This window comes from Homo sapiens, chromosome 11 (assembly GCF_000001405.40).
Source record: "Homo sapiens chromosome 11, GRCh38.p14 Primary Assembly".
Taxonomy (NCBI): domain Eukaryota; kingdom Metazoa; phylum Chordata; class Mammalia; order Primates; family Hominidae; genus Homo; species Homo sapiens.
The window spans coordinates 127,626,112-127,640,604 of record NC_000011.10 but is presented as its reverse complement, the minus strand read 5'-3'; the positions used below and the strand labels follow the sequence as shown (position 1 = coordinate 127,640,604).

The 14,493-nt window shown below is 39.3% G+C and overlaps 1 annotated feature.

The window, feature by feature from the left end:
• Positions 357-651: a silencer, noted in NCBI's record as "tiled region #6222; HepG2 Repressive non-DNase unmatched - State 24:Quies". NCBI's record gives its function as "represses a minimal TATA promoter and a strong SV40 promoter by Sharpr-MPRA in HepG2 cells {active_cell/tissue: HepG2}" and the evidence as "EXISTENCE:reporter gene assay evidence [ECO:0000049][PMID:27701403]".

The window sequence follows — 14,493 nt, the reverse complement described above, 5'->3', positions numbered from 1 at the left end:
GCCTCTTCAGACTACTGCAGAGAAACACCAGTGTTATGGCTTTCTAAAACTGAATTTCTTAATGTTTGAAATAGAATTGTAAGTGAAAAAAAATCAGAATGCAAAGTAATATGTAAACTACAACTGATAAAATGTGTATGCATGTAGGTAGACTCAAACATTATAGGCACTTGTAAGAATGATGGTTTGGGGTGCTGGGATTAAGGTTGATTATTGTTTTTTTGTATTTCCTTCTGTCATCATTGCTAATATTTCCATTTTTTAAGATCCCGAAAACACTTTCTGGGATTGACTGTCACTGGGATAAACTAAACTCAATCAACGATATGAGTAGTATCTCATAAGTAGCTTGGTTTTCTTGCCAAATGGCTATACCCAGAGTTGTAATCATAGAATGAACTTTTCTCCTAATTAAGCAAAATTCCATCCAAGGTCAATGGAGGAAGAAACACAGAGGAAGGGGTGACTAACTGTTAAGCCGTATAAAGCCAGCTAAATCTGTCAATCATTATGAGTCATTCAAATGTAGGAGTCACTCCAGGGCTTCAAACTTTGGAAGCTACAATAATTACCATTGGCATCCTTCAAAAGACAGTTGAAAGAGCAATTACAGTTCACAAGGATACCTAATTTGAAAAGGATAGGAATTGGATCCTTGAATATTTGCCACAAACTAAGGGCAGAATTAGCAGTCTATACAGTACAGTTGTATTCAGAAAACAAAAGCAGCAACCAAAACCAAGTTTCCTTAACTCTTAATGTTTCCTTCTTTTCAGGATCAGCTTCTTTTTGTTTGAGGGCTCAGCAACCCTCAAACAGGTTTCAGAGATCAAACGCTCCCTTACGTTGCTGTAGAAAATAGATCTGCCTTGCTTATTATGAAATTTGATCTTCCTAGATTTGGACATTGTATAACCCCAGAGGACAGTCCATACTTGGAAGAACATCTTAATTTTGCTTGTGGTTTGTTTGTTTGTTTTTGTTTTTGTTTTTTGACAGAGTCTCACTCTGTCACCCAGGCTGGAGTGCAATGGCCCAATCTCTGCTCACTGCAACCTCTGCTTCCTGTGTTCAAGCGATTCTCTTGTCTTACCCTCCCAAGTAGCTGGGACTACAGGCATGTGCCATAATGCCCGGCTAATTTTTGTATTTTTTAGTAGAGACAGGGTCTCAAACTCATGACCTTGTGATCTGCCTGCCTTGGCCTCTCAAAGTGCTGGGATTACAGGTGTGAGCCACCATGCCCAGCCAAAAGAATATCTTTAAACTAACTAATCACTGGAGTGATGGCTGGTAAGTGATGTAAAACGGCTCCATCACCTCAGTTTCTCCCCTTAGAATTAAAACTAAATATGTAAGCTACCACTAGTATCACCTTCCAACTAAAAGTAACATTGCTTAATAGATGTCATTTGTAGAAGATATGATATAGCCTGCTTTTGTGAGCAATATTCGTACCTGCTACTAAACTCTAAACTTCTACTGTTTTCTTCTCACTAATTTGGCATCAGAGTAGAGGCTTCATCTTTTCCTGAGCTTGAGGCAAGACGTATATACCAAGATCTCTGCCCTGCTTATTGTTTCTAACTTTTCATCCTGCCTGTCTAGAAACCCTTTTGGCCCAAGTTTTTTCTTGTTAGATTAAGAAAGCAAAAAAAGACTGTGATTGCTTGATTGCTTACATGCAATAACAGAACATATGAAACTCAGATCTTAATAATATTCAATTTAAAATTTTTCAGCAAATATTTATTGAGCATTGCTTTTGTTGGGGATACACATGTGACTTCAAGAAGTTCAAAGTTCAAAGAGGGAGATACAACAATGTTCTGAACCTTTTGTCTTGCATTGTCCAATACAACTTTCTGCAATGGTAAAAGGTTTTATGTCTGTGCTGTCCAATATGTGACCTCCAGCACCCATGTCTATTGAGCATGTAAAATATACCTCATGTGGCTGAGAAACTAAAATTGTATTTACCTTTCATTATTAAACATGTAAATTTCCACATGTGGCTGATGTTTATCACATTGCTGGTGTGTTATTAGTCCAGAAGACAGAAATGTATCCAGTGCAAGGAGAACACACAGGACAGACACCTCCCTCAGACTGGAACAGGAAGGGATGATTCCCTGAAAAGACTTTAACTTGGCCTGAGTATTCAGCAATAAGTAAGAGTTAATAAGATAGAGAATGAAGGCAAAGAAGAGTTCTTCAGGTGGATATGACGGTGTATGTAAAGGTGCCGGTGTGGGGAGAGCATGGCATGCTCAAGCGACTGCAAACAGTTCTCCGTAGCTGCCATTTGGGGCTTTTGTGAATTTACTGCAGGGTGAGGCAGGGAAAGAGGCCGATCCTGAGCAGCATTCTAACATTGTTTAAGAAACAGTATTACCATCAGGGGCATCATCATCCTTAGCCTTGCTTTTAGAAAAAGCAACCCACCAGTAATACAGAGAATGGATTCAGTGGGAAAGAGACTCGAGTCAGGGAGACCAACCAACAGGCGAATGACCTAATCCTGGTGATGGTGTCAGAGTCCTGAATCAAGGTGATAGTAGACTGATGGTTCTAGGAACACCAGTAATTTTCCAGCATCTGTCTGGAACCACTGCTACCAAAATGACATTCACAGGAAACTTTCTGTTCTACTTCAAAGAGGAGATGGGTGGCATCGCCATGTACTCATTTGATGTGAATGAAACAACCCAGAGATGGAGATAAATCTAAAAAATGCCTTCCTTTATAATATACTGTGAGTGTTTATTTTAAGTCTAATAAGTACTGTCAATGTTTAGCCCAATAGAATATAGCATCCTCTTTTACTCTTGAAAACATTTATTTTGTGGAAAGAAAACAAAAAGACTTTAAATTTATGGAATTTCTTTACATCAACCAACATATAATAAGGAATAAGTCAACTCCAAGGACGTTTTCAAGTATTATCTCAAATATTGTTTCCTCAAGAAAGCCTTCTCTGACTATCAGACACCATTAGGTTCTTTAAACAAATACTCTTGTAGCAACCTGGACTGTCTTTGGGTATTTTACACAATTGCAATCAAGTCTCAAGTTGTGTAATTCTTTGTGTCGTATCTGTATCTCCTCCATGAGGCCAGGGTTTAGTAAGTCTTGTGCACCCCTGTATTCCAGAACATAGCCCAGGGTCACATGCTCGGTAAACATGCCTTGGCTGATGGACGCAATACGCTAAAATGCAGAGAAACAGTTTACAAGGAGAATTACTCTCTCCTTGTTTCAATTTCCTTCCTAGAAAGAAGAAATAACCATTGTAATTTCAAAAGATTCCTGTGATTCCCCCATTTTTAAATACCACATGTAGTTTTACACTGAGCATCACAGTGGCTGAATCTTGATTCCACAGTTTCCCATAAAGATGCCCAGGCTTTAAGATCTGATAGCCTACATTCTCCCTTCAATGTCTCTGGAGTGGAGTTAATTGTTTTTAAAAGCTGTATACACCCCATGTTTTGCACTGTGACTATTGTTCATGTGTGTGCACCATAGACGTGGTAAGGATTTTGTTAAAAGATCACAGTGAGGAATGGCAGTAGCATGGCTACAGGCTTCTCATGTTGTGCCACATTAAGTGGACTGTAGGGACATGAGCTGATACACTTACTGTTCCAGTAAAGTGTAGAGATGAATCAAAAACTTCAATGAAAGAAAACCCAGCTCTACCTTTCCCATTTGCCTCTCAGGCTATAAAGGATTTAAGTTCAGAAACAGAACATATTTTGTGGAGGTTTATTTTTTTCTTTTTTTCTTTAAAGGAATAATAACAACTATTGATAGTTTGAGCAAGGACTCCAGGAGGTTCTCCTTTTTTGCAAGACAACCTCACTGGCTGATAAGACCATATCAAGGCTGGAAGATACAGCAGTGTGTCTGGGACCAGGACTGCAGTGCCAATAATATTAGGGACATTTGGTACTGAGGCAATCACTTTTCTCCACGTGGGACCATAATTTGTTTAAACAGATACAAGCAAATCTCTGGATCTTAGCACACTTCCTGTTGCTATAACTGAATAGCTGAAACTGAGTAATTTATAAAGAAAATTTTACTTATAGTTCTGGAGGCCAGGAAGTCCAAGATCTAGGGACCACATCTGATGAGGTCCTTCTTGAGGGTGGGGACTCTGCAGAGTCCCAGGTGGCACAGGGCATCACATGGCAAGGGGACTCATGAAGGATGGCTAAATTAGCTTTTATAACAAACTCAATCTCATGATAACTAACCCACTCCCTCAATAACCCATTAATCTAGGAATGAAGTAATCCATTCATGTGAGCAGAGCCTTCATGACCCAGTCACCTCCCAAAGGTCCCATTCACTTTTCAACACTACTACATGGGGGACCAAGTTACCAACACATGAATTTTGGAGGGACACATTCACTCTGATAAATCACAAATCCAGGTACTGAACAAACACCTATACCATTCCAAGCCTCTGCATTCAGGTAATGTGAATTCAGAATGGGGAATAGCCCAACTGCCAGGATTCCACACAGCAATACAAACTTCTCCCTATCAAAAGGACCGCAGGCTCATTTTCATTTACATGGATCATTCCTCTTCAACTCTATAAAACTGAGATATAAATTTCTTGAGATTTGTTCAGTCCATTATAAACTTGGAATGAAAAGATATGAGGTCAAGTGCAGACTCCACATTCTTTCTCAATGTCTGACGCTCGTCCAAGGATTCGAGTTTTAAATTTATTTAGAGCTGGTACTGAGAGAGATCTAGAGGTCATGGCGGTAATGAGCCAAACAGAAGGCAATAATGCAGTGCTGTCTGTTCAGTTCAACCTCCGTGGAATTTGGGAACATGAAGCTGGACTCAGAGAAAAGTCCTAACTCTGCTCAACAAGTCAAACTGTAAGTGGCAGATGGCCGGGATTCAGCCAGTGACAAACAAAGCAATTAACAGCAACAGAATATAAAATGCCACTATGTTGCTGGAAAACTTTATAATCTAGAAATTTGTAAATTGTTACTAGACTGTCACTAGTTGTTATTCTAAACTTTGCCTAGGTATCGTTAACAACGCTGACAAATACTAACTTTCCTCCTGAAAAGAATAGAAGCCCCACAAGAGTCAGTCTTTGTTGGTTTTGTTCATTGCCCTATTTGGGTGCCTGAAAGGTGACCTGGAATGTAGCAGGTAGTCAACAACATTTATTGCATGAATTAACAAGTAAATGAATGAGACGACATGGTCTACTATTTATTTGTACACTTGTATTTTGAAAATCAATTTTCCAATGGGCTTAAAGTAATCCACCACACCCCCAAATGTTTCTTTCTGGCTTGCTAGGCCTTCCTACCTTGTATCAAGATTATGGGGAAAAGCTTGAAACTCAATAGGATTAATGCTCTTAATCACATTGTTCATTCATATGCTTTATCTGGCACCTCTGGTTTCTTAGAAGAGGAGTCTCATATTTCCCAAGCCCTGCAGAGTGCGTACATGCCAATCAACCCAGTCAATATTCATATCCAAACATTTTGTTTGGGTACACTCATGTACATACAGTGCAGAAATGACATTAGTAATTGTGGCCCTGATTAATTCTTACCTGCAAGGCCACTGTGGAGGCAAGTTTAGTATACAAATGGAGACATGCCTATTGATTTGTAACCCTAGACAGTGTACTCCCTGTTTCCCCCAATGAATGATCCATACTTGTATGATTATAGATGGCAAGGCAAGTTATTCCAGGGAAACACATTTCCAGGCATCTTGGAATGTAGTGCTTCTATGAGATCTTTCTTTATCAAAAGTTTCTCAAAGCACTTACTAAACATACAGGCTATGTTACAAGATAGGTACTAAGAAGAATGAAGACTTATAAGACAGTATCTTAGTTAAGGCAATTTATTTTTTTTCTAGAAAAAAAGTCCTAATATGTAATCATTATAATAATTTTACATGGATCAGGAGAGGCGGTAAATGAGATAGATACAGTTTATCAAGATTTCACCTCAATTCTCATTATTCTTAATATGAATAGCAGCCTTTTGCAGGTTAAGGTATCACAGAGAAAGGTAGAAGATAACTACTTTTTAGTCATTTCCATTTTGTTCCCAAGACTGAGGTAAAAAGGTAGTCAAATACCATATTGAATGGGTTTTTCCAAGACTTTCTCCTGAAGGAGAATGGGAGAAAAGATGTAGAAAAAGGAGAAGCAAGACAAAGATATTAGTATTTAATAAAATTCTGCAGTGAACATCAATAATGTGAGCTGTCCCTTCCTTCACCCACTCATTTTGGTAAGGTATTAACTTCACGCCTACAGAGGTCATCTAAATGGGAACGCAATTAAGTAGTTGAAATCATTTTACTTTTCTTAAAAATGAATATTCAACTCTGGAAATGTATTTCAAAACAGACCTACATTGGCAAATTAAAACATACAGAATTTAGTAAATGTGAAAAGGTCTGTTCTATATTCAGAGATATAAATAAGTCTATTAAACTTCCAAGGTTTTGAATCTTAAATTTTGCATGTTGTGACATAAATATATTCTGATTTGTAAGTCATCATAACATTAAGGGAGGTTGTTTTGCATTTGAGATGCAGAAAGACAAATATAAACTGATAGAAAACATTACAATGTATCAGGAGCATGAATAATATAATTACTAAAGGCCTCAATACAGCAGCATGTGCTTCATTTTGCCAATATGATAAATGCATGTAGCTAAGGTTTGTTAAATATATATGTGTGTATATAATTACATCAATGATGTTAATTAAATCGTATCTCCAGTTGTCCAAGAAAATGTTAATGTGAGCCCCAAAGCTTCAACTTTACCATTTTTAGTATTTTTAAAAAGCATATTTTTATACATGACCACCCTCTTTTTTCTTAGGTTTGTATTAATCATTTTCCATTCGAAATACAAAATTACCCCAAGCTGTTTAGTTGGGGAAATATAATTGCTATTTTTCTGATTGTTATTGATAACAAATAAGCCTGATCATGAAATGTCTCCTCTGGAAGTAGGGATATTTGTTTTCTAGGAACAGCCCTGCCACCAACTAGAGCTGTTACCTTGGGGGAGTAATGTAACCTGTGTAAATTTCCTCATTTGCAAAACAAAGGAGTCAGCTTAGCCAATCTCTAAGGACCTTGCCAGTCTGAATAGTCTAAATATCTGTGATCTATGACTCTCACTGTTTAGTCCAATTCAAAAGGCAATGCCAACTTTTGATCTGTTTTCTTCTCTACAATTGTAATTATTATTGATCTTTCAGAAATACTCCCTGTTTAAAGCCTCTGGAGGTATTTATAAAATGGAGACACAAGGGCTATGAAGAAACAAAAGTTGCTGTAATAATGAATATTTCATTCCATTATCTAGTCATAGCATTGCAATGCATTCCCCTCAGTCTCATGGGAATCGAGAATAGGGCTTTACCCATGGACTCTGGTGTTTTAACCCTGCCAGATTCAGGAGTCAGTCTTCACACTCCAGGATTCTGAATTTCAGATTGCTTCCCCTCAGACAAGGAGGAAGCCCAGCTCTAGAAAAGAATGGCCTGGAAAGAGGAAATGCTGCATTTTTTAACTGGTCTGAAATGTACCTGGTCTGAACTGACCTCCTTTTCTGCGCTGCTGAACATCTCTACCTCATTTTTCCTGGACTAAAATGAGTCCTGCTTGAACTGGCCATGGGAGAGGGAAGATTTGGCATGGAGAGATTTTGGCTCTTACTACTTTCCAGCTCTTCTCAGCTTGATTGGCAAAGCTCTGGATAGCAACACCACCCACTTCTTTCTCTTTTTGCCTCCTGTTCCTATCAACCCTCTTTCAGTTCCCCTTGCTGAGATATACTGAGGTAAAATCTAACTCCATGGCCAGTCATTCGGAGCACAGATGCATACATAGGACCCAGGAGTGCTTGGCTTCCTCCAAGCAGCTCGAGCTGTGCAGCCCTTATAACTGTCAGAGGCGCCTCTTAAACAAGAAATGGCAAATCCATTCCAACTCCACTCATAATGGGATCGCACAGTGATTCAGTCTCTAATTGTTCTAAATGTTTATGCAAAGGGCCCATGAGGAGATACAGCTGACTGTTTAACTGATAATTATAGAGTGATTAAGTTTGACATTTCCAGAGAATTAGGTGAAAAACCTACTAGACTTTGCTAGGGTCAAAAGACTAGGCACCTTTATGAATTTCAATACCGCAGCGCTCATCTGGCTAGGGGAAGGAGGAGTATTTGAAAATATCCGCGAATAATTTTTAAAAGATTTTATGCTAATGGACTATTAAACATTTAATGCTCTCTTAACAAATGGTTATTTCTCCATTAAGCACCATCATGACCTATGCATAGTTTATGAACATTCCTGTTGTCCTTGAGAGAAATCACATACTGAAAGGGCTAAAAATAGCAGTCACGTGAGGTGCAGAGCGTAATTTGCATCCGGAGTTCAGCAGACATCATCCAGCTCAGAAGCTTGTTTCCAGGCATCAGACTCAGGAAAAGGCTCCAATAACCTTTCACCAAAGCTGAGCATTCTGGAAGGACCAAGTCCCATTCCTTAGTGGGAGCTAGTTTGGAATGGCATAGCTTCTTTAATGGTGAAGGACATTAAATGACCTTCTTCCAGTCTTTCAAATGCAGCCGTTTCTCCTTTCTCTACACTCCGCTAGTCCCATGACAAATCTCCTTCTTTATCCAGCAAGAACCAACATCCTCCACACTCCTTTCCCTTTAGGGAAACACACAGACCAGCCACCACTGGAAGCTGTTTTAATAATTATCTGCCTTAACACTCTAACGATACTGAAACTGATTTGCAGAGAGATGAAATAACCTCAAAAACAGCCACACATTCACTAGTAATAAAGTCTGGAATATAGTGCTGGGTCCTACGTCAGTGTTTTTTGCTATTGCTGTTTCCACCTATTCAAGTTGTGTAACATTTTCAAGAATGCCCTCCTCCGTGAAGTCCATGATGATTGCTCCGACCATTTTTTCCCTATTTCATAACAGTGCATGACACACCCTGATGTCATACCCCTTGCCACTTGATTATGTTGAATTTTGACAGATCCTCATTTCAAATGGTGGAGGAAGATAGATAGCTGAGAAAGATGAGACAGGAAGATTAATGAGGGTAGGGAAGGCAGGTTAGCTACCAGGCACTTAGAGCATGGGACTAGTAGCTAGGTATAACTTTAGCTTGCAGAAGAACAAAATGTAACTTTATTTTGATTAGTCTCCTTCATCAGAGCATTTAGCTTTCCTAAATCACAAAATGACCTATTTCCCTTCCCTAATTAACACTCTTCGGTTTTGTCCTAATGGCTACAAGATTACATTAAAAAAATCACAGGGCTCTTTTGCATTGCAAACAAAGCCCTATGATGTAGCCTTTATTACATATTTTATCTATCCTCATTTGCTGACAGCCCCTTGCCTTGCACTTTGTGTTCCAGTAATATTGAAGCTTTTGCACTCCTTCTCTACACCACGTTGTTTCAGACCTCATTGTCTTTGCTCATCCGGTTCACTTGATCTCCATCAGGATGCTCTGCCTCTGAAATCCTTACCTCGACCTCCAAGAGAAGCTGTCCACTATGCTTTCCCATTGCCCCCTGAGCATCCTCCTCTTTGGACACACTTTGGACCATAAGTTTCTCAAAATGAGAGGCTGTGCCTTTGTTCTAAGCACAGCATTACACCTATGTTATCTATCCTGTATTCTGTGGAAGTGGTGGGGTGGGAGGGGCATCTTGGGGGAACTGATTTTCCAGATACCTGCTCTGTAGAAATAACTGGGTCAGTAAGTGTAATGGTATGAAATTCACCTCAAAATACTTGTGCTGGCTGGGTGTGGTAGCTTATGCCTATAATCTCAGCATTTTGGGAGGCCAAGATAGGATTGCTCGAGGCTAGGAGTTTGAGACTGGCCTGGGCAACATTGTGAGACCAAGTCTTTACAACAAATTAAAAAATTAGCAGGACATGGTGGTGTGCACCTGTAGTCCTAGCTACTCAGGAGGCTGAGGCTGAAGGATCACTGGAGTCCAGGAGTTTGAAGCTGCAGTGAGCTATGATCACACCACTATATCCCAGCCTGGGTGACAGAACGAGATCCTATCTTTTAAAAAACAAACACAAAAAACTTATGTTCGTATTGTCTACAGTAAATTAGAGGATGGAAATATTTCCCATTATGTTTTCCACCCAAATTCCACATAAAATTGGAATTTGATAATGCTTTATAAACTAAGATCATTTTATACAATATATTTGCTCTCATCAGCATCGACTCTCATTATCATTGTCTCAAGTTTGAATCTAGAACTCAAGGCCAGATATTAAGTGAAAATATATGTCAATACCAAAGGCTTTATGAGAGCAGAAGATGGAAATAAAACTCCTTTCACTAGAGTTCCAGTATGGATAATTACCCGAGGCACAATGCTTCTCACTAATTTAGCAAGTCCTTCAATATCAGACTTCATTTTATAATTTGTAATTAAGAGATTTCTTTGGCAAGTTGAAAAGTCATCATTCACCTTGGAGGTCAAGATGCTATCTAGGCATTTTGGTAGATCACGATGTGGGTTGACTTTCCTCTGCAGCAGTTAGAGATATCAGTGCTTTTCTCTTCATCATAGCTACTCTCTCCAGTGCTACCTTCTATCACATTTCTGACACTAAAATTGCCCCAACATAACGTTAAGCAGAGTGAGATTTTTTGACTTCTTGGTTTCTTGGTCTTTTTCTGCACAAAATTCTAAACATTTATACCCTTCTTGATTTTCTGTTCTGTAGGAAACATATATATTTATCATATATTCTGTGTCAGACGCTGTGCCAAATACTTTAATACATCACCTGCCTCATCACGTCATTCTTCCCAATTCTGTACTATTTATGACACTTAGAAGTATACATTAAGTACAGTTTGTTCTCTCCATCTTTCTTATTTTTTTAACAATGCAAATTAGTTCACTCACAGAGTGGAATGAGATCAGTAAAATGTAGAAGTTTCATTGATACTAAGTGATTTTTTCCCAGCCCACTAAATTTTGTGCCACCAAGTAACAGCACCTGAACACAAAGTACACTAACTCAGTTGAATGTAGCAAGCTACAAAAGAGTAGTATTACAAGTAGTGCCCATTTATCCCGTGTTCTTTCTTTTGGCTCTGTCTCACCACATGCTCTGTTTTGGAAGGGTGGCTATTCCAGTCTTTACGCATTCTGACCTTGTGTTCATACACAGTGTTCCCACCTTTCCTTATACCATCTTCTGCCAAGCTATCTTCATCTTTTTTCTTTTCTTATTTTTTTTTTAATTTTTTTCGAGACAGAGTCTTGTTCTGTCTCCCAGGCTGAAGTGTAGTGGCCCAGTCTCAGCTCATTGCAACCTCCAACTCCCAGGTTCAAGTGATACTCCTGCTTCAGTCTCCTGAGTAACTGGGAGTACAGATGCGCACCACCACGCCCAGCTAATCTTTGTATTTTTAGTAGAGATAGGTTTTCACCATGTTGGCCAGGATGGTCTCTAACTCCTAACCTCATGATACTTACTTTCTATTTATTGGGACTTTAATTTTTTAAAATTGCTAGCACTTTAAAAAACAATTTTTGTGTTTTGGTTATCAAATTGCATAGATTTTGACTCATTTAACCCCAGCCCTACATTTGCTTTACTCTGTTATTTTATTTCTAGAACACGATTTTTTCAGAATATTAGAAATACATATAGAGTATTATAGCAGAAATATCTGTATAGCAGAATTACTAAGAACAAAATAGGGATTATTATCAAAGTGATATGAACAAATGGGGTCACAAGGCTAAGACCGAGTAACCTGACGACGGTCACCGAACCAGTGAGTGACACAACAGGTATGTGAATCCAGATCCATTTCATTCCAAGCCATTTGCTGTCATCATGATAGCATGATGCTTCCAACTCTCCCTGCCACCTTTCCATCACCTCCTCATCCCCAGAGCTAGAAATAGCACATGGGGAAGAACATGCAGTTCCTGCCCGTTCTGCCTGTGTGTGTCTTTGAATGCATATGTATGCTCATCCAAGCATTTATTCCAATGGTCTCAAATCCTACCTCCAGACAGTCAGAAGTTGTCAGCACTTAGGTGACCATAGCGATCTCACTGCACACCCTGTGCCTTCTGGGCGAGGGAACACCTGGCTGGAATCACAATGTTTTACTTGGCTCCCAGAACAGAGGCGTGAGCAATTACAGCAATTACCATGCCTCCTACAGATGACTCGCGCCCAGCCGGTTTGAATGGACTAATGGAGGACTGAATCCAGGCGGGAGTAAAATATCTCCACCATAAACTGAAACATTTTGCTGTTTGAATTGTTGCCAGTTTTTATAACAATTTCCATCTTAAGCTGGCTCAATACACATTTAATGAATTCTTCTATAAAACCTTTAACAGCCTTCAATTCATTTCAAGTGGCAAATGACTCAGCAGTTTTAAACGATGATTTGGGTGCTCTATATTCATTACCTCAAAAGATAAAGTGATTTTTCTTTTTTTTCTTTTTTTTACAAAATGTTCTTTTCTAAACAGAGTTTTCTCCTTGTGCTCACATTCATATAATGTGAAAACACTTATGTCTGCCAATCCTCTTTCTCTCAAGGATGTGATTAAACAAGAGGCGTGCTGTAAGCGCTTCATAATGAAGAGTTGTGATAGATGCTAGGATTACATGTTATGTAACTGTTGTGTCATCATATATCAATAAGCCCTAATGACCTCTTACTGTGTATCACTCGCTTATTTATTCAAGTGGGATTGACATTTACACTTTTTAAAGTACAAAAAAAGTAGAAAGTGGTAGTACACCTTATGACATTTATAAAATATATAAATAAATATATTTATACTAAGCCAGTTAAGAACACTGGCCTTAAAATGCTTCGACACAGAGTCAGGACTAGAAGGTATTAAACAGAGGAGTCTGACTTTTGACTTACTCCTCATACCATACGTATTATGCTTTACCAGATAAAACTCTGCAAACTCTGATAACTTACAGTGCTAGGATGGATACTGACTTTTGGCCATCTGCAACCTTGAGGCCCCTCACCTGCTGCAAAAGTCTTACATTAGCAATTTTAAATGGGGAATAGGGCAGAGCCCCTCCCCACCCCACCCTCACACATATGTGTGCATAAACATAGCATGCACCACCCCAATGCCCTTTGCTACCTCTCCAGTCTCATCTTCCACTATTTCCTGCTTCCTCAATTGGCTTCTGCCCACTGGTCTAGCATGCTTCTGGCTCAGGACCACACACTTGCTATTCCCTCTGCCTGGAAGGTTTCCCCTTCCATAGCTTCATAGCTCTGCTTCATCAAATTTTTGGTTTAAAAATTACCTTTCAGTGACTACTGTATTTAAAATAGTCCTGCCAACACTCTCTTCCTTCCTTCTTCTATTTTTCTACACAGAACTGATTGTGTCTGTTATATATTTTACTTGTTATTTGAAACTCCTCCAGGCCTTCCTTGCCCAATTACTATGTAAAAATCCGCAAGGACAGAATTTGCGTGTGTCTTCTTTGCTGCCCCATTTCAGTGCGTAGAACAGTGTCAGCCACGTAGCAAGCTCTCCCTCACCATTTGCTATATAACTGACTGAATACATGCAATATATTCTTACACACACATGCATCTTGTTTGCTATACAAAACCACACTGTACACCAAGGTTCCCACCACATATGCAGAGAAGAAACTCTTAGTGTGGGCGTAGTAGTTAAAGTATCCTAAAACAAATGAGCCTTGGAATCCACCCTGTTTCACTTTAGAAATCATAGCTTTTTGTTTGTTTGTTTGTTTGTTTGTTTGTAGACAGAGTCTCGCTCTCTTGCCAGGCTGGTGTGCTGTGGCGCAATCTCAGCTCACTGCAACCTCCATCTCCTGGGTTCAAGCAATTCTCCTGCCTCGGCCTCCAGAGTAGCTGAGATTACAAGAGCCCGCTGCCACGCCCAGCTAATTTTTGTATTTTTAGTAGAGACGGGGTTTCACCACGTTGGCCAGGGTGGTCTCCATCTCCTGACCTCATGATCTGCCCGTCTCGGTCTCCCAAAGTGCTGGGATTACAGGCATGAGCCACCGCGCCCAGCAGAAATCATAGTTTTTATTGGAGCACATCCTCTCCAACCTGTCTGAAATTAGGTTAATTTTTTTGTCTACTAAATCCACACATTATCACAGTATATTTTATACACACGGTTTCTAGTTTGCATTTACTTGCATGTTATATTCAAAAAGTACTCCCCAATCCAACTACTTCATGTAAAATAAATGAAATCACATGGAGCAGTTGTCGTCAAATGTGTATTCTAATAAAAGCCTCTTGGGGTTGAAGCATCTTCCTAAGGGGCAAAGGAATTCCTTCTGCGTCTCTTCCTCCAAGCTCATGCTACCATTCCTTGTTTTGAAAAC